The sequence below is a fragment of the Homo sapiens genome, chromosome 14 (assembly GCF_000001405.40).
Source record: "Homo sapiens chromosome 14, GRCh38.p14 Primary Assembly".
NCBI lineage: Eukaryota > Metazoa > Chordata > Mammalia > Primates > Hominidae > Homo > Homo sapiens.
In genome coordinates, this window is record NC_000014.9 from 22,786,689 (window position 1) to 22,812,156 (window position 25,468).

A 25,468-nucleotide genomic window follows, 5' to 3' on the forward strand; every position below is an offset into this window, starting at 1 on the left:
TTTGGGAGGCCGAGGTTGGAGGATCGCTTGAGTCCAGGAGTTCAAGACCAGCCTGGGCAACATTGTGAGAACACATCTCCACAAAACATTTTTTTTAGTTAGCCAGACATGGTGGCACACACCTGTGGTCCCAGCTACTTGGGAGGTTGAGGCAGGGGGATCGCTTGAGCCCAAGTGGTCAAGGCTGCAGGGAGCTGTGATCGCACCACTGCACTGCAGCCTGGGCAACACAGTAAGATCCTTTCTCCAAAACAAAAAAAGTGATTTTTTCCCCCCAGATACAGGACTTCATATTTAGTCTTAGTGACTTTCCTCTGAGTTTTTATGCATTATTCTTATATGATATGGGATTTTTCCTTCTTCATTTTATTAGTTCAAATCCCTTCTTTAATTTTGTGAAATCTGCAAATTTGATCAGCATACCTCCTGAGTCTTCACTGAAGTCACCCTAAAAATGTTGACTAGGGCCGGGCGCAGTGGCTCACGCCTGTAATACCAGTACTTTGGGAGACCGAGGAGGGAGGATCACCTGAGGTCAGGAGTTTGAGACCAGGTTGGCCAACATAGTGAAACCCCGTCTCTACTAAAAGAACAAAAATTATCCGGGTGTGGTGGTGGGCACCTGTAGTCCCAGCTACTCGGGAGGCTGAGGCAGGAGAATCGCTTGAACCCAGGAGGCGGAGGTTGCAGTGAGCCAAGATTACACCACTACACTCCAGCCTGGGCGACAGAGTGAGACTCCGTCTCAAAATAAATAAATAAATAAATAAATGTTGACATGGGCTGGCAGCAGTGGCTCACGCCTGTAATCCCAACACTTTGGGAGGCTGAGGCAGGCAGATCACTTGAGGCCAGGAGTTCGAGACCAGCCTGGCAATATGGCAAAACCCCATCTCTACTAAAAGGAAAATGCAAAAATTAGCAGGGTGTGATGGCACACGCCTGTGGTCCCAGCTACTCAGGAGGCTGAGACATGGGAATTGTTTGAGCCTAGGAGGCAGAGGTTGCACTGAGCCAAGATTGTGCCACTGCACTCCAGCCTAGGTGACAGAGCAACACTCTGTCTCAAAAAAAATTTTTTTAATAAAAAAATTAAAATGTTAGGCCGGGCACGGTGGCTCACGCCTGTAATCCCAGCACTTTGGGAGGCCGAGGCAGGCAGATCACAAGGTCAGGAGATCGAGACCATCCTGGCTAACACAATGAAACCCCATCTCTACTAAAAATACAAAAAGTTAGCCGGGCGTGGTGGCGGGTGCCTGTAGTCCCAGCTACTCGGGAGGCTGAGGCAGGAGAATGGCGTGAACCCGGGAGGCGGCGGTTGCAGTGAGCCGAGATCGCGCCACCGCACTCCAGCCTGGGTGACAGAGCGAGAGTTCGTCTCAAAAAAAAAAAAATTAAAATGTTGACTAAGATCAACAGAGCTGTATAGTCTATCACTGTAGACCTTTCTGTATTTGTCATTATTCCACAATGTTATTCAGCCAACTAAGAATCTACCAAACTTTATTTTTATCTAGTCTACCTTGTCAACAAGAATATCATGAGAATTTGCCACGAACCTCTCCGAAATCTGCATACACATGCCTCTGCTCTAACAATCTAATGATGCTATCAAACAATTCAAATCAAATTAGTATATATTTATGTAGAATATTCATAGTTACACCCTTGCAGTAGTCAAAAACTAGAAACAACCCAAATGCCCAGCAACAGTAGATTGAATAAATACTAAACAGCACTAAGAATAAACAATCTGTAATCCTAGCACGTTGGGAGGCCAAGGCGGGCAGATCACAAAGTCAGGAGTTTGAGATCAGCCTGGCCAACATGGTGAAACCCCCGTCTCTACTAAAAATACAAAAATTAGCTGGGCGTGGTGGCGGGCACCTGTCATCCCAGCTACTCAGGAGGCTGAGGCAGGAGAATCGCTTGAACCCGGGAGGTGGAGGTTGCAGTGAGCCAAGATCCTACCACTGCACTCCAGCCCGGGCGACAGAGTGAGACTCTGTCTGGGAAAAAAAAAAAAAAAAAGTGAACAATCTACGACTACAGACAAAAATACAGAAGAATCTCAAACATAATAAGCAAGCCAGATGCAAAAGTGTACATATAGATTATATCCATTTACATAAAATCAGAGAAAACTAATCAATGCTACTAGAAGTCAGAATAGTGATTTCCCTTTGTGTGGGGTGGAGAGGCAGGGACTGGGAAGAGCATAAGAAGGGCTCAAGGGTGCTAGTTACACATGTGCTCAACTAGTGACAATTCATTAAGCCATAAACTTATGAGATTGCACTGTTCCTTCTGTATATTATATTTGAATAAAAAAATTAAAATTGAACCAAAAAGTGAGGTTAGCAGAGTATGGCTTGTTCTTAGTGAATTCATACACGTTACTAATGATTTCCCACCCTTCTGCTCGTACTTCACTAACCAGATTTAACTTACAAGCCTAGAATTTGGGCAAGAATCCACCTTAAGTTATCACTTCAGAGTGCTGCTCATCCACCTCCGGTGGAAAGCTGGGCTATCACTTGTGGTAGGTAGACTAATGGCCCCCCAAAGATGTCCACCCCCTAATCCCTGGAACCTGTGAGCCATGTTATATTGCATGGCAAGGGAGAATTAAAGTTGCAGATAGAGGCCAGGCGCAGTGGCTCATGCCTGTAATCCCAGCACTTTAGGAGGCCAAGGCGGGCAGATCACCTGAGGTCAGGAATTCTAACCAACATGAGTCAGCCTAACCAACACGGTGAAACCCCGTCTCTACTAAAAATACAAAAAATAGCTGGGTGTGGTGGTGGGTGCCTATAATCCCAGCTACTCAGGAGGCTGAGGCAGGAGAATTGCTTGAACCCAGGAGGCGGAGGTTGCAGTGAGCCAAGATCACACCACTGCACTTCAGCCTGGGCAACAGAGCAAGACTCTGGCTCAAAAAAAAAAAAAAAAAAGAAAAAAGTTGCAGACAGAATGAAGATTGCTAATCAAGTGACAAAACAGGGAAATCATTCTGTATTCTCTGGGTGGGCCCAATGTAATCACAAAAGTTCTTAAAGATGAAAGAGGGAGGCAGAAAGGTCAATGTCAGAGTAGTACAATATGAGAAAGACTCTCCCAGTTACTGCTGACTTTGAAAATGGAAGGGTCCATGAGACTCTAGAAGCTGGGAAAGGCAAGAAGATGGATCCTCTCCTTAAGCCTCCAGAAAGAAACACAGTGCTACTTCATATTAGCCCAGTGAGACCCATTTCAGACTTCTGACCTCCAGAATTATGAGATGATAAATTTGTGTTGTTTTCAGCCACTCAATTGGTGGTAACTTGTTAGAGAAGCAATAGAAAACTCATATGTTGGCTGGGCACAGTGGCTCGCTCCTGTAATTCCAGCACTTTGGGAGGCCAGGGTGGGCTGATCCCTTGAGCTCAGGAGTTTGAAACCAGCCTGGGCAACATAGAGAAACCCTGATTCTACAAAAAATACAAAAATTAGCTGGGCCTGGTGGCGTGCACCTGTAGTCTCAACTACTCAGGAGGCTAAGGTGGGAGAATTGCTTGAGCCTGGGGAGGTCAAGGCTGCAGTGATCCTTGATTGCACCACTGCATTCCAGCCTGGGTGACAGAGCAAGACTGTCTCAAAAAAAAAAAAAAAAAAAAAAAAAAAACCTAACTGCAGGCAGAAAACTGGAAGTAGCACTGGGTGGTACTATTCATTACATTTGTTGAAAAATGGAGAAAGGGGAAGTGAAACCCTTGACAGCTCACTGGATCTTGGTGTACTGAAATTTCCCTCTCACTGCAATCAAAAGAATCTAAATGTGACCTTATGCAAAGAAGGCAGGCATCCCTTATGATAGCAGATCCTCAAACAAGTATGTACCTCTCTCTTTAATGTACTACATGAATCCCAGCTCTTCTAGCAAATCATCATTTTTGAACAAAGTATACTCTTTCATTATCATATTCTAATCAAATATCGCTGATGCCTATGAAATTGTTTCCTCCTTTCAGTAAAAGGTCAAATACGGGCCGGGCACAGTGGCTCATGCCTGTAATCCCAGCACTTTGGGAGGCGGAGGCAGACGAATCACGAGTTCAAGAGATTGAGACCATCCTGGCCAACATGGTGAAACCCCGTCTCTACTAAAAATACAAAAATTAGCTGGGTGTGGTGGTGTGCGCCTGTAGTCCCAGCTACTGGGGAGGCTGAGGCAGGAGAATCACTTGAGCCCAGGAGGCGGAGGTTGCAGTGAGCTAAGATCGCGCCACTGCACTCCAGCCTGGTGACAGAGCGAGACTCCGTCTCACAAAAAAAAAAAAAAAAGGTCAAATACGTTTATTAGCCTTACTTGTAATATTTGTAGATAAGAGTTCAAAAGCATCATTTCTGATCTTCCATCCCATTTTCTCCAAATGCGTTACTGAGCAACTCCTCTCTGCCTTTATTCTCTGCTATGTAGTCTCCAAAATACCCAGATTTATACTTTTATCTAGGCATTTTTCTCCTTGCCTCTAAAATTTCCATTCTAAAGCCTTATTATACACATCTCTCCCAATCCCTATAAACCTCCTCTATCCCTTACCAGGAGTTTATCTTTCTGGTATCTTAGAATCTTAGAATTTACGGTTAGGAACTCTGTTCTGTGTTCTTTTTTCTTTCACATACACAGCCTTCAGCTGACAAAGAGACGAAAATTCCACCTGCCACTCAGTTTGCTACTTTAAACTTCACGTCACCAGTGAGACATCTCAGCTATCTTCTGACTGGTGACATCATTCATCCCACAGCAATTAGCAGAAGGATAGCAGTCCCTAGGCTTAATTGGTGTGAGCAAGCTCTTGGTCACATGTTGCTCAGAAAAACTGCACATTTCTAGGTTAGGCTGGGTCTGTGTATAGTCAGATGCACACTATTCCTGGGGGAAGGCCAAACCCCACAACTGGCATACTCAGGCCTGCTAATACCCTGGTGTCTCCAAAATACTCTACCACTGCTGTTTCCTCAGAAGGTCCAGATATAAGCTCTCTGGAAACGCCTCATATCTGTTACCTAAACCCAGAGATTTCAAGTCTCTTCTTCCTTTTCTTTGCTGCATCCCCATTTGTTTTGTCTAATGTTGGTTTGGGAAAATCTCTACACCTTTTTTTTTTTTTTTTTAATTGAGATGGAGTCTCGCTCTGTCGCCCAGGCTGGAGTGCAGTGGCGCCATCTCGGCTCACTGCAAGCTCCGCCTCCTGGGTTCACGCCATTCTCCTGCCTCAGCCTCCCGAGTAGCTGGGACTACGGGCGTCCGCCACCACGTCCGGCTAATTTTTTTGTACTCTTAGTACAGACGGGGTTTCACCATGTTAGCCAGGATGGTCTCAATTTCCTGACCCCGTGATCCACCCGCCTTGGCCTCCCAAAGTGCTGGGATTACAGGCTTGAGCCACCGCGCCCGGCCTGGAAACTCTCTACACCTTGAAATCACAATTTCACCCTGGCTTCTTTGATACATTATTTCTTCCACTCTCCCTAGGTGCTGTTATTTCTCTCAGATAGCAGATGGCCTTCAAATTATTTTACCTTTCAGACTACAGAAACCTTTTACTCCAGGTGCAGTGGCTCATGCCTATAATCCCAGCACTTTGGAAGGCCAAGACGTGAGGATCACTTGAGGCCAGGAGTTGGAGACCAGCCTGGGCAGCATAGCAAGACCCTTTCTCTACAAAAAAATTACAAATTAGCTGGACTTGGTGGTGCACACTGATGGTCCTAGCTACTTGGAAGGCTGAGGTGGGAAGGTCACTTGAGTGCAGGATTGAGCCCATAACCATGCTACTGCACACCAGCCTGGGCAACAAAGCAAGACTTCGTCTCAGAAAATAAAATAACATTTTTGACCAGGCGTGGTGGTGGCTCACACCTGTAATCCCAGCATTTTGGGAAGCCGAAGTGGGCGGATCACCTGAGGTCAAGCGTTCATGACCAGCCTGACCAACATGGCAAAACCCCGTCTCTACTAAAAATACAAAAATTAGCCAGCCGTGGTGGCGCACGCCTGTAATCCTAGCTACCTGGGAGTCTGAGAGAGGAGAATCATTTTGAACCCAGGAGGCGGAGGTTGCAGTGAGCCGAGATTGCACCACTGCACTCCAGCCTGGATGATAGTGTGAGGCCCCGTCTCAAAGAAAGAAAGAGAGAGAGAGAGAGAGAGAGAGAGAGAAAGGAAAAGAAAAGAAAAATATCTTTTTTTTTTTTTTAAAGACAGAGTCTCGCTCTGTCGCCCAGGCTGGAGTGCAGTGGTGCGATCTTGGCTCACTGCAACCTCCGCCTCCCGGGTTCATGCCGTTCTCCTGCCTCAGCCTCCCAAGTAGCTGAGACTACAGGCGCCCGCCACCAAGCCCAGCTAATTTTTTGTATTCTTTAGTAGAGACAGGGTTTCACCGTGTTAGCCAGGATGGTCTCGATCTCCTGACCTCGTAATCCGCCCGCCTCGGCTTCCCAAAGTGCTGGGATTACAGGCGTAAACCACCACGCCCAGCCAATTAAAATAAAAATTTTAAAGAAACAACCAATTCGCTTACTCAGGTGTCATGGGTGAGAGCCTCTGTAATTGCAAAATTTTGACTGAGACAGTGAAAGAGATCTAACTTAACTGACTCCATCTTGCTTCTAACCTCCAAGCTGCCTTTATTCATTCCCAGGCATAGGCTGAACTAACTTTGGGAGAAACTTAGTTTATAATTTAGACAAAGAGGATAACAGCCCTTTCCCAAAGCAGACCTCCTTCTTGCCTGGGGACTAGATTGCCTTTGTAGGACTAACATTAGCCACAAGATTAGAAATTATGGTTTAGGGCTGGGCACGGTGGCTCATGCCTGTAATCCCAGCACTTTGGGAGCCATAGGAGGGCGGATCACCTGAGGTCAGGAGTTCAAGACCAGCCTGGGCAACATGGTGAAAACCTGTCTCTACTAAAAATAAAAAATAAAATTAGCTGGGTGTGGTGGCGTGCACCTGTAACCCCAGCTACTAGGGAGGCTGAGGCAGGAGAATTACTTCAACTCGGGAGGTGGAGGTGGCAGTGAGCCAATATCACACCACTGCACTCCAGCCTGGGTGACAGAGCAAGACTCCATCTCGAAAAAAAAAAAGAAATTATGGTTTAGGAGTCACGCAGCTGGAAGCTACAAGATTCTGACCTTCCCTAAACTGCTCCTAAGATCAGTGCTTGAGGTATTTTGTAGACCCTGCTCTTGGTGGATCAGCTGGCCCCCACCCAGATCAATAAACTGGCTTAGCTGATCTTGTGGCCCCCACCCAGGAACTGACTGAGAGCAAGAAGACAGCTCTGATTCCCTGTGATTTCATCTCTAACTAATCAGCACTCCTGGCTCACTGGCTTCCCCTGACCCACCAAGTTATCCTTAAAAACTCTGCTCCCAGAATGTTCGGGGAGACTGATTTGAGTAATAATAAAACTCCGGTCTCCCGCACAGCCGGCTCTGTGTGAATTACTCATTATTGCAATATCCCTGTCTTGAAGAATTGGCTCTGTCTAGGCAGTGGGCAAGGTGAACCCCTTGGGCAGTTACACCTCTGGCAAGAAGACACACCAAATGCAATCCCTGTGGGTCACTGGATCAGAGTCCTCCCGCTCTCCTTCCTGGAACTCAGTCAGCACTTTGGTCCCTGTGGCTCTGACCACTCTGAGGGAGCAAGCAGGCAGTTTGTACCAGGAGGGTCTTATAGTAACAACCCCGTGAGTCCCTTCTCCAAGCCGTGTAAATCCAATCCTTATTGGTTTGCTTAGCTAGGGGTCAGTTCAAGTCCTCAGGTACCAGATCTCAAGCCTGAGTGAGCATCAGTACCACCTGAGGAATTTGTCGACCCACAACTTCAGGGCCCCACACCCCAGAGGTTCTGATGCAGGAGACCTGAGACAGTTTCGCAGGCTAATCTGAGGATCTGCTTCTCTGGGTGTGTTTCCTTAGGTAATCACCTACGGAAATAACCACACACAGAGCAGCTGTATCAGAACAGTCGCAACCCTTTGCTAACTCAAGGCTCCTCTATCCTGGCTGCAAACTAGCATCACTTGACGAGCTTTAACAGTCCAGTGCTCAGGCCCCACCCAGACCAATGAAGTCAGAAATTCTGGGGTGGAACCCAGGCATCGGCATGTTTTTAAAACTCCCCAGGTGACTCTGAAGCATGGTGACAATTGAGAACGGCTTTTCCCACCTCTAGTGACACAAGACCCTCATCAATTCTCCTCAAAAGCAATTTTTCTGCTTCCTTAATTCTCGTTCTCCAAGCCAATTCTCATCTCATTCTTCTCCCCAGTGGTTCAGATTTATGTAGTCAGGGAGTGGGAGTGATGAGTATTGTTTTCTTTCTTTCTTTTTTTTTTTTTTTTTTTTTTGAGACAGCGTCTCACTCTGTTGCCCATGCTGGAATGCAGTGGCACAATCTTGGCTCACTGCAGCTTGGACCAAATGGGCTTAAACAATCCTCCCACCTCAGCCACCTGAGTAGCTGGGACTACAGGCATGCACCACCATGCCCAATTAATTTTTTTTTTTTTTTTTTGTAGAGACCAAGTTCTCCAGACTGGTCTCCTGAGCTTAAGCCATCCTCCTACCTCAGTCTCCCAAAATGCTAGGATTACAGGTGTGAGCCACCGTGCCCAATCTGAGTATTGCTTGCTTGCTTTCTTTCTTTCTTTCTTTCTTTCTTTCTTTCTTTCTTTCTTTCTTTCTTTCTTTCTTTTCTATTCTTTTCTTTTCTTTTCTTTTCTTTTCTTTTCTTTTTTAATTGAGACAGAGTCTCACTCTGTCGCCCAGGCTGGAGTGCAGTGGTGCAATCTCGGCTCACTGCAAGCTCCGCCTCCCGGGTTCACACCATTCTCCTGCCTCAGCCTCCCGAGTAGCTGGGACCACAGGCGCCTGCCACCACACCCAGCTAATTTTTTGTATTTTTAGTAGAGACGGGTTTCACCATGTTAGCCAGGATGGTCTCAATCTCCTGACCTTGTGATCTGCCCGCCTCGGCCTCCCAAAGTGCTGGGATTACAGGCGTGAGCCACCGTGCCCGGCCTTGTTTTCTTAATTCTCCAGATGATTCCAATCCACAGCCAGAGTTAGGACCCACTGCTGCCCAGCATCTTCCGCAACCTCCTCTAGGCTACCTGCCCAGCTTCTTCTGAGGCAGAGAGAAAAAGAAAGGAACATAGAAACATAGAACATAGAAAGGAAGAGAGCAAGGATGAGCCCCCAAAGGGACTTGATGATCAAAGCAGCATAAAGGTCTACCCCTTCACTGCTGGTCAAGAGTTTGTTCCAAAGTTCACAACAAACCCACACTAGAACCCAAGGCTCTGATGAAAGCCTATTTCTTGAGGTGAATATGGGCCAGAAAAGGTAAGTTTCTTCACCTCCACCCTCAGATGGCTCTTGGGAAAAGCCCTCTGAAAAAGGCAACTAGCTTCCAAGTAGAAGGTTCAAAGGGCAAAAGTCCGTTGGGGGGCCCAGCATCTGACTGTTCCACCTCATTAGCCACAAGTACATGAGATCAGTCATTCTGGTACCAGGAGAAGCTGCACGAGGACACCTGGCCAAAGCTCTCAGACACACAGAGATCCAAAGTCCTTCACAGCCCACAGCGGCTCTGGCAGACTCAGGGTAAGCTGTCTGCCCCCTTCCCACAGCAACCCTCAGCCCCCACCAGCACCCTGAAAGGCAAAAGCACGAAATACCCTTCTCAGCCAAGTTGAACCTGGAATCATATCTTCTGTTCATTCATCCAGCCAACATTTATTGAAGAACCCACTACATGCAATTCACTGTGGCCACATGTGTATGACACGAAGAATCTTTGCCTGATCCCTGAAGAACAGTACTCTGTAAACAAAGAGCCCTGAACTGCCAGGTACTGCTGACTCACTGGTACAGGGGACATACTGAAGGCATAGATGGTAAAAATGTCCTGGTAGTGTCCTGAATGGCAAAACAACTAGGTCTCAGTGTGGGCAAGTGTAGGTAAGGCAAGAACAGTCATGTCCACCTGTGAACAGTGGGCCAAAACACCTTGGCTCTGAGGAAAGGACAGTCGGGTGGAGCTGGACTTCTGGACACCTATCCTCTTGCTGAGAGGAAAGTTCCACCTCTCTTGCAAAACAGAAAGAAAAGGCTCAGCCCTCCTTTCTGATCCCTGAGCTATTGTGAAGTAAAATGTAAACTGCTTTTAAGTCATCCAAAGACAGCATGCGGAAGGTAAAGCTTTTAGAAATCAATAAGATGCATATGATATGAATATAACTTGCAGTAATAGATACTATTTTTAACTGACAACTGTGTGCCAGGTCACTATGTACTTACACCTATCTTCTAATTTAATCTGACAGAGAGTAAGTTTTATTATCTTTATTTTACACTTGAGAAAACTGAGGTCAGGCAGTGACTAGCTCCAAAGCCTACATCCATTCCACCACACCACATACCTCCCTAACTGTATGCAAGAATGTGAGACGGGGAGTGGGATTATCTCCCCCTGTGGTAATGGAGATGCCTAGAACTTCAGAGCACTGGGGCAGTCCACGAATTTCTCCAAGAAGTCAGAATAAGCAGCTTCAGGAGGTGCCATCTGCACACCTCTCTGTTTGGGAAAAGCAACCATTTCTACTACCCTAGACAGGACAGTGAGGCTCCTTCAAAACTCAGAATTCCTTCACTCACTCACTCATTCATTCATTCATTAAGCTTATATTGAGTACCCACTGTGTTCCAGGCCCTGTGCAGGCTCTGAGATTAAGATCCAGTCTCCAGCCTTCACTCAAAAGTGGACATTGACAATTACAAGAATCAGTTGCTATGAAAGTCACTGAGAGGCAACCTATCTACCCACACGTCACTGGAGGAGTGAATGGGGTGCAGGCAAGCACCAGGATCACTGTTATCTGGACTGAGTGCATGGAGGCTGCTGCTGGGGTGGGGGAGGGGAAGCAATATTCCTGACAGAGAGGGCAAAACGTTATTACCCTGACAATGAAATCAGCAATGAATGAAGTCAACCACCCGTATAAAAAAACCTACTTAAGCAATAACCAGTAAATGATTTCAAGGTCTATTAGTAATACCAGACTATCTAGGGCTGTAGTTCAACAGCTCTAAAGGTAGACTATGCCTGCCAAAAGACTGCAAACAACTGGCAGGAGCAGAGACTCTGTGTTTGCTCTTTGGAAACTGTCATGATTTGAATAGAAAAAGATGAAAATATGGTACAAATATAGATCACATTTCTATGAGGTAGGGACCCCATTTTATAGAAGAGAGAACTGAGGGCTGGGCACGGTGGCTCATGCCTGTAATCCCAGCAATTTGAGAGGCCGAGGAAGGTAGATCACCTGAGGTCAGGAGTTTCAGACTAGCCTGGCCAACATGGTGAAACCCCATCTCTACTAAAAATACAAAAAATTAGCCGGGCATAGTGGTGGGCACCTGTAATCCCAGCTACTCGGGAGGCTGAGGCAGGAGAATCGCTTGAACCCAGGAGGCGGAGGTTGCAGTAAACTGAGATTACGCCACTGCACTCCAGACTGGGCAACAAGAGTGAAACTCTGTCAAAAAAAAAGAAGAAGAAGAAGGAGAAGGAGGAAAAGGAGAAGGAGAAGGAGAACAAGAGGAAACTGAGGCTAATAAATTTGACCTAGCATTGATTGAATCCTGCCTGATTCCACGCTGTTCACCACCATGCACCAGTGCCTTCCAAAGGGATAAGGGTATCCCCTACACTGTTCAAGAAAAAGAAGTCTGACTCAGGGCACCCAATCATTACAGCCATGGAGAAGGCATCATTGTAGGGTAGAGATATTTCATCCAACTTTTCCAGAAACATACCTCAACCAACCTAAGGCAGGCTTAACTCTTTTTCATAAAATCGTCCCTCAACCTTGGTCCTTTCCTCTAACAATCACCCTCCATGCTTTCAGAATCATTCATCTGAAGAGCATGTCTACATTCCTTCCCGTTCCTGGGTCTCTACAATGCAGTCTGAGATGTTGCAACTCCTTCCTCTTTCACCCTGCAAAAGTTTTCCTTTGACCCTCTGAGTTGCCAATTCCAAATGACATTTTATTCCTTATTTTAAACTTAATAGCTCCTCCAGAAAGGCTATTTTTGAGTGTAAACCTGCCACCTCTGGTATGCTGCCCTTGCTCTGTGCTCTCACCTCCCCAATTAACTACACTGCATTAGAACAGTGTACATATGTCTCTCCCACCCACGAGAGCTGTGTGAGGGCAGAGAGTGGATAACAGTTATCCTTGTACCCATGGGCATAGTCCTGAACTAGACACACAGTAACACTTAATACATTTTGCTGGGTGAATAAATGATATTTCTGAAACCTGATTTCACCCTCACTGCCCTGAAATTTCATTGCCTTAGGAGAAAGCCCACATGAAAAGCCACCAGTGACCTTCATATCAATAAATCCAATCAACTATACTCAATCTTTACCTAGCTTGACCTCTTAGCAGATTGGACACAGGTAGTCATTCATTCCTTCTCAATTCACTCCCTTCCACTCACCATCTTCCAGGTTTCCACCTATCTCTCTAGATGCTCCTTCTCCATCTTTTCACAAAATACCTATCCCTCAAATGTGGGTATTCCTCAGAATGCTTCTAAGCCCCTTTGTCCTCCCTTTCTACATCTTGTCCCAAGGTCATCTCATCTGTTCCTGTGGTTTCTTTTTCTTTTTATTTTTTTCTTTCTTTTTTTTTTTTTTTTTTTTTTTTGAGACAGAATCTTGCTCTGTCACCCAAGATGGAGTGCAGTGGAGCTGTCTCGGCTCACTGCAACCTCTTCCTCCAGGGTTCAAGCGATTCTCCTGCCTCAGCCTCCAGAGTAGCTGGGACTACAGGTGCACACCACCATGCCCGGCTAGTTTTTGTATTTTTAGTAGAGACAGGGTTTCGCCATGTTGGCCAGGCTGGTCTCGAACTCCTGGCCTCAAGTGATCAGCCCACCTCAGCCTCCCAAAGTGTTGGGATTACAGGTGTGAGCCACCGCCCTGGCCTGTTCCTATGGTTTCAATAACCATATATACAATGATGACTCCCAAAAGTATATCATCAGCCCAACTGTCATGATTCTAGATATATATGAATATTCAACCACCTACTGGACATTACCAGGCACATCAAACTCAACATGTCCAAAACTGATTCCATCAATTTCTCCCAAACCTACTGCACCTTCGGTGTTCCCCATACAAGTAACTGGCGTCACCATCCACCCATTTATGCAAGCCAAAGACCTGGGCATGTTATTGTCATCAACAACTTCCACTCATATCTACTCATAGTCCAAGTCTTAAGTCTCCCTGTCCCCAAAACATGACTCTAGTCCAAGCCACCATCATTTCTCACTAGGATCATAGCAGCAGCTTCCCACCTGTCTCCCAGCTTTCAATCCTACATAGAAAAACTAATCTTTCTTAAACTCACAAATTCTAAAATCTAAATCACAAATGCCACTCTTCTGCTTTTAAAGGCCTTAAGAGTTTTCTCATTGCCTTAGAAGACAGCCCACCAAACTCCTTAATATAGTTGGTGCAATAGATTGGAGTTTTCCAATATGCCTCAACGTCTCCCATCCCATATTCCTTTCTTACAATGTGACTTTGACACTCTACCCATCAAGAGGCAGGGTCTGTACCCCTCTTCTCGAAACTGGATGGTCTTCTGTGAATGCCTCTACCTATAGAGTATGACAGAATTGACACCATGCAACTTCAGAGACTAGGTCATAAAAGGCAATGCAACTTCCACTTTGGGTGCTACAACACTCATTCTGGACGCTTTCAGCTGCCTGCATAAGCAGTCTGACTGCCCACGAGTCACCACGCTGTGAGAAAGCTCAACACAGTCCATACGGAAAGACCACATGGAAAGACTGACACAATTTGATAAAGAAGGCCGGGTGCGGTGGCTCACACCCGTAATCCTAACACTTTGTTTGGGAGGCCGAGGCGGGTAGATCACCTGAGGTCAGGAGTTCAAGACTAACCTGGCCAACACGGTGAAACCCCGTCTCTACTAAAAATATAAAAATTAGCCGGGCGTGGTGGGGCACGCCTGTAATCCCAGCTACTCAGGAGGCTGAGGAAGGAGAATTGCTTGAATCTGAGAGGTGGAGGTTGCAGTGAGCCGAGATCGCGCCACTGCACTCCAACCTGCACAACCGGAGCAAGACTCCACCTCAAAAAAAGAAAAAAAAGAAGCCCAGATTGTCTGCAACTTCCTCAGCAACCGTTTTTCCAGCTCCTGTCACCATCTGCTGCAACCACATGAGGGACCCTGACCTAGAACTGTCCCACTAAGCCCTTCCCAAATTTCTAAGCCACAGAAATCATAAAAAAAATGACTACTGTTTTAAGACACTACGTTTTAGACTATTTGTTATAGCACAATAATAACTAGCACAGCTTATAAAGCTTTGAACAACCTATGCCTTGACTCTATTTACCTCTGCAAGCCAACTCTCAACCTTTTCTTCCTGAAATTCAACACTGCAGCCCACCCTGAACTCCTTTCAGTGCCTGAAAGGAGCACTTCTGGCATTTAGGTTTTCATACATTCTGTTCTTGCTGCTTGGAACACTCCTCTTCTACTCTTGATTAATTCTTCTTCGCCATTCAGGTATCAGCTCAAACTTCTACAGGAATGGTTTCTAAATGCCTAGGTTAGGACTGGTCTCCTCCTGTGCCTTGTTCTACCTTGCAAATCACAACACCATCACAATCCATTAAAACCCTGTATCAGAGGCCAGGCACGGTGGCTCACGCCTGTAATCCCAGCACTTTGGGAGGCCGAGGCAGGCGGATCATGAGGTCAAGAGATCAAGACCATCCTGGCCAACATGGTGAAACCCCGTCTAAAAAATACAAAAATTAGCTGAGCATGGTGGTGCATGCCTGTAGTCCCAGCTACTCAGGAGGAGACAGGAGAATCTCTTGAACCTGGGAAGCAGAGGTTGCAGTGAGCTGAGATTGCGCCACTGCACTCCAGCCTGGTGACAGAGCGAGACTCCGTCTCAAAAAAACAAAACAAAACAAAAATCCCTGTATTGGGTTGCCCATCCTGACCCCGGCATGCACCCATGCATGCGGTCACACACACCCACGCACACACATAAAGTGCTCCAAAAAGACAATGACAGTGCAGGGAACGTGGCAACCTCTTCGCAAATACTTGTTGAATGTTTAATCTCCAACCCTATCTCTTTCCTAAATTCCAAAGAGCATATCTGCCTACTATGCTAAAAATAAATTCCAAATTCAACATGCCCCCATCCTCCTCCTCACAGTAAATGATATCACTGCCTACAAATTGTCTAAACCAGAAACATCATCTCTTCATTCAAAGACTATTTATTGAGGGCCGGGCACGGTAGGTGGCTCACGCCTGCAATCCCAGCACTTTGGGAGGCCGAGGCAGGCAGATCACTTGAGTTCAGGAGTTCGAGACCAGCCTGGCCAACATGGTGAAACCCCATCTGTACTAAAAATACAAAAATTAGCAGGGCGGGGTGACATGCACCTGTAGTCCCAGCTACTCAGGACACTGAGGCAGGAGAATCCCTTGAACCCGGGAGGCAGAGGTTGCAGTGAGCCAAGATCCTGCTACTGTACTCCAGCCTGGGCGACAGAGCAAGACTCTGTCTCAAAACAACAACAACAACAACCAAACAAACAAACAAAAAAAATATTTATCAAGCTTCTCTGTTTCCTTGCTGGGGATACAGTGGATTATAGATAGGCACAGCTCTTCTGGCACAAAACTTACAAGATGGTAGATGTTTTCCTTGACACTTCCCTCTCCCTTATACTTGACATCTTAATAGGTCTCATTGGTTGTATTGATTATACCTTCTAAATTGTGCTCAGATCTATCCTTCCTTGTCCACCCCAACTGCCATCACCGTAGTTCAGGTTTTTGTCATTTCCTGCCTGGATTGCTACAAGAGCTTCCTAATAGTGTCTCTGCCTCCAGCCTTGTCCCCTAAGTTCCACCCCAGCTATATCACTCCCCTGTTTAAAGTCCTTTAATGGTTCCTCATATGCTTTGAATAAATTCTAAAACCCTACAAAGATATACCTTGTGTTCTAGCCCCTTGCCCATCTTGGTCCCCTCATATCCCACAATCCCCCATGCACCCCCACACCCCATACATTTTTTTCATCTTGTGCCTTTACATTGGCTTTCCCTGTGCCTAAAACGTCCTGCCCCCTTCTTCATTCAACATACAATTATTGAGCACCTAGCAGATACCAGGCACTGTTCTATGTGCTGGTGATTCAGCAGTGAGTAAAACAAAGTCCTTATTCACATATGTTTATATTCTAGAGGGAAAGAGAGACAAGTAAATGATGTGTTGAACACTGTTATAAAGAAAAAGAGGCCAGGCACGGTGGCTCATGCCTGTAATCCCAGCACCTTGGGAGACCAAGGCGGGCAGATCGCCTGAGGTCAGGAGTTTGAGACCAGCCTGACTAACATGGTGAAACCCTATTTCTGCTAAAATACCAAAATTAGCCAGGCACAGTGGCAGCGCCTGTAATCCCATCTACACAGGAGGCTGAGGAAGGAGAATCGCTTGAACCCGGAAGGCGGAGGTTGCAGTGAGCTGAGATCGTGCCATTGCACTCCAGCCTGGGCAACAGAGCGAGACACCATCTCAAAAAAAAAGAAAAAGAAAACAGGATGGGGAACTGAGAGTGACCATTTTAGATACGATAGGTCTCTAGTAAGGTACTATTTTTGCAAAGAGGTGAATGGAGTAAGGGAATAAGCTCTGCAGGCATCTGGAGACGTGCCTTCCTTGCAGAAGAAACAAATACAAAATCCCTGAGACATGTATGTGCCAGGAAAATGCAGGAGAGGCAAGAAGGCCAGTGTAGCTGGAGCAGACAAAGTGAGGGCAAGAAGTCCAAGGTGAATCAAAGAAGTCAGGTGGAGTAGGGCCACATAGGCCACGGTAGAAATGTGGGTGCTTCAGCCCAGCCTGACTCCTTTCATCCTTCAGTGCTGATGCAGACATCATCCCCTGAACAAGCCACTCTCCACCCCTGCAAGCACCTGCCACATATACATGTTTAAGTGACTATGTCTACCTCGCTTCCCACCACACTGTGCGTTCCCTACAGGCAGGGGCTCCACCTTTCAGTTCCATGCTTTATAGAGCCCAACATGTTCAGAAAAAATTTCTCAAATTATTCAAACTTTCTTCTTTTGTTCCAATTCCACACCCTGCAAGCAACTTCCTGATTACTAGATTGGTTTCCCAGTTACTAGGGTATCAGGGAGGGGATGCCTTGATAGTGAACACACACCTTCTGGTCATTAGAAATTACTCATGTGGGAAAGGATTCCGTATTTAATAAATGGTGCTGTGAGAACTGCCTAGCCATATGCAGAAAATTGAAACTGGAGCCCTTCCTTATATCTTATACAAAAATTAACTCACGATGGATTCAAGACTTAAATGTAAAACCCAAAACTATAAAAACCCTAGAAAAAAATCTAGGGTTTTATAGCAATACCATTCAGGACATAGGCACGGGCAAAGATTTCATGGCAAAAATACCAAAAGCAATTGCCAAAAAAGCAAAAATTGACAAATGGGATCTTATTAAACTAAAGAGCTTCTGCACAGCAAAATAAATTATCATCAGAGGGAAGAGACAACCTCTACAGAATGGGAGAAAATTTTTGCAATCTATCCATCTGAAAAAGGTCTAATAACCAGAGTCTACAAGGAATTTAAACAAATTTACAAGAAAGAAACAAACAATCCCATTAAAAAGTGAGAAAAGGACATGAACAAACACTTCTCAAAAGAGGACATTCATGCGGCCAACAAACATGAAAAAAAGCTCAACAGCACTGATCATTAGAGAAATGCAAATCAAAACCACAATGAGAAATCATCTCACGTCAGTCAGAATGTCAATAATTAAAAAGTCAAGAAACAGTCAGGCATGGTGGTTCACATCTGTAATCCCAGCACTTCGGGAGGCTGAGGCAGGTGGATCACCTGAGGTCAGTAGTTCAAGACCAGCCTGACCAACATGGAGAAACCCCGTCTCTAACAATACAAAATTAGCCAAATACAAAATTAGCTGGGCATGGGGGTGTGTACGCCTGTTATCCCAGCTACTCAGGAGGCTAAGGCAGGAGAATTCCTTGAACTTGGGAGGCGGAGGTTGCATTGAGCCGAGATTGTGCCATTGCACTCCAGCCTGGGCAACAAGAGTGAAACTTCGTCTCAAAAAACAAAAAACAAACAAACAAAAAAAGGCAAGAAACAACAGATGCTGACAAGTTTGCAGAGAAAAAGGAACACCTGGCCAGGTGCAGTGGCTCATGCCTGTAATCCCAGCACTTTGGGAGGCCAAGGCAGGTGGACCACAAGGTCAGGAGTTCAAGACCAGCCTGGCCAAGATGGGGAAACTCCATATCTACTAAAAATACAAAAATTAGCCAGGTGTGGTGGTGGGCTCCTGTAATCCTAGCTACTCAGAAGGCTGAGGCAGAGAACCACTCAAAACAAGGAGGCAGAGGTTGCAGTTAGCCAAGATCATGCCACTGCATTCCAGCCTAGGTGACAGAGCAAGACTCAGTCTCAAAAGAAAAAGAAAGGTACGGCAAGTAAGAAAATGTGGTACATATATACCATGAAATAGTATGCAGCCATAAAAAGGAATGAGATCATGTCCTTTGCAGGGACATGGATGAAACTGGAAGCCATTATCCTCAGCAAACTAATGTAGGAACAGAAAACCAAACACCAAATGTTCTCACTTATAAGTGGGAGCTGAACGGTGAGAACACATAGACAAATGCGGGGGAAGAACAACACACACTGGGGCCTGTCGGTAGAGGTTGGTAGAGGGAGGGCATCAGGAATCATAGCTAATGGATGCTAGGCTTAATACCCAGGTGATGGGTTGATCTGTACAGCAAACAATCATGGCACATGTTTACCTATGTAACAAAGCTGCACATCCTGCACATGTGCCCTGGAACTTAAAATAAAAGTGGAAGAAAAATTAAATAAATAAAAATTTTAAAAAAAGAAATTACCCATGTATGCTCATCAATAAACTGTACATACATCAAAGGCCGAGGGCGGTGGCTCACGCCTGTAATCCCAGCACTTTGGGAGGCTGAGGCGGGCAGATCACGAGGTCAGGAGATTGAGACCATCCTGGCCAACATGGTGAAACCTCGTCTCTACTAAAAATACAAAAATTAGCTGGGTGTGGTGGCAGGAGCCTGTAATCCCAGCCACTCGGGAGGCTGAGGCAGGAGAATCGCTTGAAGCTGGGATCTCGGCTCACTGCAACCTCCGCCTACTGACATAGCGAGACTCTGTCTCAAAAAAAAAAAAAAAAAAAAAACTGTACATACATCAGTAAACTGACATTATCATTCACACATCAATCTCTTTTTTTTTTTTTTTTTTTTTTTTTTGAGACAGAGTCTTGCTCTGTCGCCCAGGCTAGAGTGCAATGGTGCAATCTCGGCTCACTGCAACCTCCACCTCCCAGGTTCAAGCGATTCTCCTGCCTCAGCCTCCCAAGTAGCTGGGATTACAGGTGCCCGCCATCATGCCCGGCTAATTTTTTTGTGTTTTAGTAGAGACAGGGTTTCACCATATCGACCTCTTTTTTTAGGTAAGCGTGACTCAACTGCTGGGAAAATGACCCAAATCTGTGTCATGACACCCAAAGAAGGCGCTGCTCATGGAAGGGCCACATAAGCAGCCTGGCAGAAGACTTGGATGCCCTGTCTACCTCACACTCAGCCCACCTTCCCTATTTTAGATGGCAGCCCCATCACCCACACCTGTCCAAGCTCAAATCTCTAGCTTCATGAACTCTGAGAGCTTCCATATTCCCCATACCTAGAATATATGGGTAATGGGGTGTGCATGAAGGATTATGGGATATGAGAAGGCCAAAGCGGCAAAAGCACAAGGCACACCTTCCTAGGGATTTAGATTTTATCCTAAAGCATATGAGGAGCCACTGGAGGATTTTAAACAGGGAGCAACATACTGGGGTGGAAACCTATGGGCAAGGCTGGAGGCAGGGCTTTACCTGTGAGAGCTCCCCGACCCCCGGCAAAAAGTCCTTGAAAGTCCACTGTTAACTTTTTTTTTTTTTTTTTTTTGAGACGGAGTCTCGCTCTGTCGCCCAGGCTAGAGTGCAGTGGCGCGATCTGGGCTCACTGCAAGCTCCGCTTCCCGGGTTCATGCCATTCTCCTGCCTCAGCCTCCCAAGTAGCTGGGACTACAGGCTCCTGCCACCATGCCCGGCTAATTTTTTCTGTATTTTTAGTAAAGACGGGATTTCACTGTGTTAGCCAGGATGGTCTCAATCTCCTGACCTCGAGATCCACCAGCCTCGGCCTCCCAAAGTGCTGGGATTACAGGCGTGAGCCACCGCGCCGGGCCAACTATTTCTTTATTCATACCCTCATCTCTGTTCCTAAGGCCACTCCACAGTGCAGATATTCATCACCCTTCACATGGATTCAGGTTTCAGCTCCCTAAACCAGTCTCCCCACCTTCTGTCTCTTGCTCTTTCCAAAAACATTCTCCATGTGGCCACCAGAGTTCTCCTTTTAACTAAGTCTCATTATTTCACTAGTCCCCATACCCCTGCTTAATAATCAGTAGCTGTGTAGCTTTGTAGCTCCCACCTGTAATCCTAGCTACTCAGGAGGTAGGAGGATTACTTGAGGCCAGGAGTTGGAGGCTGCAGTGAGCTATGACTGCACCACTGCACTCCTGCCTGGGCGACAGAGCAAGAACCCCCATCTCTAAAAATATAAAAATAAACAATAGCTTCCCCTTATCTTTTAGATAAAGTCCAACCTGATTATAAAACCCATCTCACCCAGGGCTGTCTCCTCGCCCTTCTCCCACCCCACATTCCAACCATACCAAACCAACGACCTGGAATTCTCTGAACATTCTGTACCTTGCACCTCCACACCTTTGCACATGCAGTCTCCTGTGTGAAAGGTCACAGGAGACAGCTATATTTATTTTCAAAATTCAGCTCAGACACCATGTTCTCTGCGATACCTTCCTAAGCTATCCTCCCCTACAAAAATAAAGTTGTCCCATTTAGGTCGGGCGTGGTAGCTCATGCCTGTAGTCCCAGCAATTTGGGAAGCTGAGGCGGGCAGTTCGCCTGAGGTTAGGAGTTCGAGACCAGCCTGGCCAACGTGGTGAAACCCCGTCTCTACTAAAAACACAAAAATTAGCCGGGTGTGGTGGTGCACAGCTGTAATCCCAGCTGCTCAGGAGGCTGGGGCAGGAGAATCGCTTAACTTGGGACATGGAGGTTGCGTGAGTGAGGCGAGATCACACCACTGCACTCCAGCCTGGGCAACAAGAGTGAAACTTCATCTCAAAAAAAAAAAAAGAAGTTGCCCCATTTGCTCTTATGGTGCCTCTATCAGTGTACAAATTATATTGCATGACAATTATTTGTTAACATGTCAGTCTCCTTTCTGGACTATAAATTATTGAATGGCAAGGGCCAGACATCATTCTTCTTTGTTTTTCAGCACTAAGTAAAATATCTAGCACACACATAGCATGCCCTAATTAAATTTTTTCTAAGGGAGGGAATGTATGAAAGCTCTAAATTAAAGCCCTTCTCTTGCTAAATCTGAAGATTCTGCCTAAGTTCTCACTTAGGCTAATCAGAATGTCTTCATAGGTCCCAGCATCTGACTTGTGTCAGGTGCTTATTCAACAGTGCCTGAAGACCAGGCACAATGGCTCACGCCCGTAATCCTAGCACTTTGGGAGGCCAAGGCAGGCAGATAGCTTGAGCCCAGGAGTTTGAGACCAGCCTGGGCAACATAGCGAGACCCCATCTCTATTAAAGAAAATTAAAAAACAAAACCAAAACAGTGGCTGAAGGAATAAACCCATGAATCATATGTCACTAAATTCTTAGTCTTGGTTGCCCTTCTGAACCTTCTTTAGATCTCTATGCTCCTCTGAAGTTATCAAAGATAGAACAAAGTCCAGATATTATCTATGCAGTAATATTTCATTTATCTAACCATAACTACTCAGATGAAGCCAAGAAGCAGGAAGAGGAACAGGACTATAAGTGACCAAGAAAGACAGTAATTTGAAACATAATTCATAATTCATGGTTTTCACTGAATCTCATTCCATTCTCACAACAGCCTGGAATTAAACAGTCAGTGCACCTGGCTCAAGGTCACATAGCTATTGAGCCCAACCTCAAACACAAGTGTGTGCACAAGTGCTGTGCACCTTTCACTCTATCAGAGAAATCTCAAATGTGTGTCACACATGTGTGTACAAAACTCTATGCATTTTACTCACTGAAGAGCTCTGCATACGAACCATAACTGCGGCTACTTTGCATGTATTCTTTTTGTTTTGTTTTGTTTTGTCTTTTGAGACAGAGTCTCGCTCTGTGGCCCAGGCTGGAGTGCAGTAGCATGATCTCGGCTACTGCAACCTCTGCTTCCCGGGTTCAAGCGTTCCTCCTGTGTCAGCCTCCCTAGTAGCTGGGATTATAGGCACCCACCACCACACCCAGCTTTTTTTTTTTTTTTTGAGACAGAGTCTGGCTCTGTCACCCAGGCTGGCGTGCAATGGCGCGATCTCTGCTCACTGCAACCTCTGCCTCCCGGGTTCAAGCGATTCCCCTGCCTCAGCCTCCCAAGTAGCTGGGACTATAGGCACGCACCACCACACCCAGCTAATTTTTTTGCGTTTTTCATAGAGACGGGGTTTCACCATGTTGGCCAGGATGATCTTGATCTCTTGACCTCGTGATCCACCCATCTCGGCCTCCCAAAGTGCTGGGATTCCAGGCGTGAGCCACCATGCCCGGCCTTTTTTGTATTTTTAGTAGAGAGGGGGTTTCACGATCCGCCCATCTTAGCTTCCCAAAGTGCTAGGATTACAGGCATGAGCGACTGCACCCGGCCTTTGCATGTATTCTTACAAGGATGTACAGGCACGTGAATGTGTACATGGGTGAATGAGGATTTAAACATGTATGTCTCTATACCCAAATTAGAAGCAGAAAATTGGCCAGGTGCAGTGGCTGTGAAATCCCATCTCTTCTAAAAATACAAAAAATTAGCTTGGCGTGGTGGCGGGCGCCTGTAATCCCAGCTACTTGGGAGGCTGAGGCAAGAGAATCGCTGGAACTCGGGAGGCGGAGGTTGCAGTGAGCTGAGATCGCACCATTGCACTCCAGCCTGGGCAACAAGAGGGAAACACTGTCTCAAAAAAAAAAAAAAAAAAAAAAAAGCAGCAACAGCAGAAAATTAAAAAGGGTTGACTGGCAGAGGTAGGCACAAGGTCAGAATCGAGGAACAAGAGCTGTCAGAAATGACACAGACAAAGATAGTTAAAATAATAGAATTCTAAGGCCGGGAAGGTGGCCCATGCCTGTAATCCCAGCACTTTGGGAGGCCGAGGTAGGCGGATTACCTGAGGTCCGGAGTTCGAGACTAGCCTGACCAACATGGAGAAACCCCATCTCTACTAAAAATACAAAATTAGCCGGGCATGGTAGCACATCTGTAATCCCAGCTACTCGGGAGGCTGAGGCAGGAGAATCACTTGAACCTGGGAGGCAGAGGTTGCGGTGAGCCAAGATCACGCCATTGCATTCCAGCCTGGGCAACAAGAGCGAAACTCCATCTCAAAAAAAAAAAAAAAAATAGATTTCTGGTATTTTAAAGGAATGCAGCCATCTTAGAAATATTACTTAGATGAAATGATCCTTCTCTGCACATGATATAATTAACCATATGCCCACATTTGAGGGTGCTCCAAGACCAATAGATCCTAAAATTAGTTTTGCCAGTAAGCAACCTACCAGATCATCTGCAAGTAATGCAAGAGAAATCACAGATCATATTTAAGACCTCAGTGAAGGCTGGGCACAGTGGCTCATGCCTGTAATCCCAGCACTTTGGGAGGCCAAGGCGGGCGGATCACCTGAGGTCGGGAGTTCAAGACCAGCCTGACCAACATGGAGAAACCCTGTCTCTAATAAAAATACAAAAATTAGCCAGGCGTGGTGGCACATGCCTGTAATCCCAGCTACTTGAGAGGCTGAGGCAGGAGAATCACTTGAACCCGGGAGGCAGAGGTTGTGGTGAGCCGAGATTGTGCCATTGCACTCCAGCCTGGGCAACAAGAGTGAAACTCCGTCTCGGAAAAAAAAAACCTCAGTGAAAACCCCCTTCTTGCAACACAAAGCAGTGCCTTCCACCCCTCCCTGACTGTTGCCATGTATGACAAACATCCCATATGCAGAGATGAGTCCAGGCCAGACACAAGGACACACAAAACACAGAAGGACCCCACAGAAGACAGCCAGTTCTCTACACAACAGTAAAATCAGAGAAGCTGGAAAGGAAGTTGAGGAGTGAATGGGGCAATACAGAAATTGAAAGAAAAAAGGACACAAACTGATTGGAGAGCGGTGAGCCAATGAGCAATTGCACCTGGTGCAAAATTCCTGTGCCCCAACTGCTAGAGCAGCTGCCCCTCAAATTGACAGAATGTCTGAGCTTCTTCACAGTTGCAGGGTGGAAGGCATCTCTAAGGTCCTAGGCTCTCCCAGGTTGGAAGGGCATTTTTCAAGAATAGTGGCATCTGAGGGATGGGGCTATGGAGAATCATCATCTCAGCACCTCCAATGGCTTTACTGAATGTACAGATTTAAATAATGTTTTATTTATGAGATGGAGAAAAAGCCAAGGTGGACTGAAATGACAGTATTAAAAATCTAGCCCACAGAGGCCGGGTGCAGTGGCTCACGCCTGTGATCCCAACACTTTGGGAAGCCAAGGCAGGTAGATCACTTGAGCTCAGGAGTTCGAGTCCAGCCTGGCCAACACAGTGAAACCCCGTCTCCACCAAAAATACAAAAAAATTAGCTAGGCATGGTGGCACATGCCTGTAATCCCAGCTACTAGGGAGGCTGAGGCAGGAGAATCACTTGAACCCAGAAGATGGAGGTTGCAGTGAGCTGAGATTGCACCACTCAAGCCTGGGCGACAGAGTGACTCTATCTCAAAAAAAAAAAAAAAAAAAAAGGAAGAATCCAGCCTACAGAAATACTCATGCAGCTGCAAAAAGATATTCACTGGAGCATTATCTGTAAGACTGAGAAACTGAAACCAACGTACATGGCCATTAACAGAGGACCAGCTAGATAAATAAACTACTATGCATCCTTAAAATTCACATGAAATAATATGAAGCATTTTTTAAAAAGTAGATCTGTAAGTAGAAAAGAATGTCACTGATAATGCTAGAGGAAAAGCACACTGTAGAATTACATGTAGACTAGTATGACCTCATTTTTGTAAAAGAACAAAACTACA

The 25,468-nt window shown here is 46.0% G+C and overlaps 1 protein-coding gene across 4 annotated transcripts in view, besides 4 other annotated features; it reads right to left on the bottom strand.

Annotated features, from left to right (window-relative positions):
• SLC7A7 (solute carrier family 7 member 7) overlaps positions 1-25,468 on the bottom strand; it is a 46,570-nt gene that overhangs the window by 13,467 nt on the left and 7,635 nt on the right. The gene's annotated exons all lie outside the window — the stretch shown is intronic.
• Positions 9,826-9,895: an enhancer, noted in NCBI's record as "active region_8140". NCBI's record gives its function as "activates an Ori minimal core promoter by ATAC-STARR-seq in GM12878 lymphoblastoid cells {active_cell/tissue: GM12878}" and the evidence as "EXISTENCE:reporter gene assay evidence [ECO:0000049][PMID:35858748]".
• Positions 16,370-16,419: an enhancer, noted in NCBI's record as "active region_8141". NCBI's record gives its function as "activates an Ori minimal core promoter by ATAC-STARR-seq in GM12878 lymphoblastoid cells {active_cell/tissue: GM12878}" and the evidence as "EXISTENCE:reporter gene assay evidence [ECO:0000049][PMID:35858748]".
• Positions 16,820-16,879: an enhancer, noted in NCBI's record as "active region_8142". NCBI's record gives its function as "activates an Ori minimal core promoter by ATAC-STARR-seq in GM12878 lymphoblastoid cells {active_cell/tissue: GM12878}" and the evidence as "EXISTENCE:reporter gene assay evidence [ECO:0000049][PMID:35858748]".
• Positions 18,070-18,119: a silencer, noted in NCBI's record as "silent region_5588". NCBI's record gives its function as "represses an Ori minimal core promoter by ATAC-STARR-seq in GM12878 lymphoblastoid cells {active_cell/tissue: GM12878}" and the evidence as "EXISTENCE:reporter gene assay evidence [ECO:0000049][PMID:35858748]".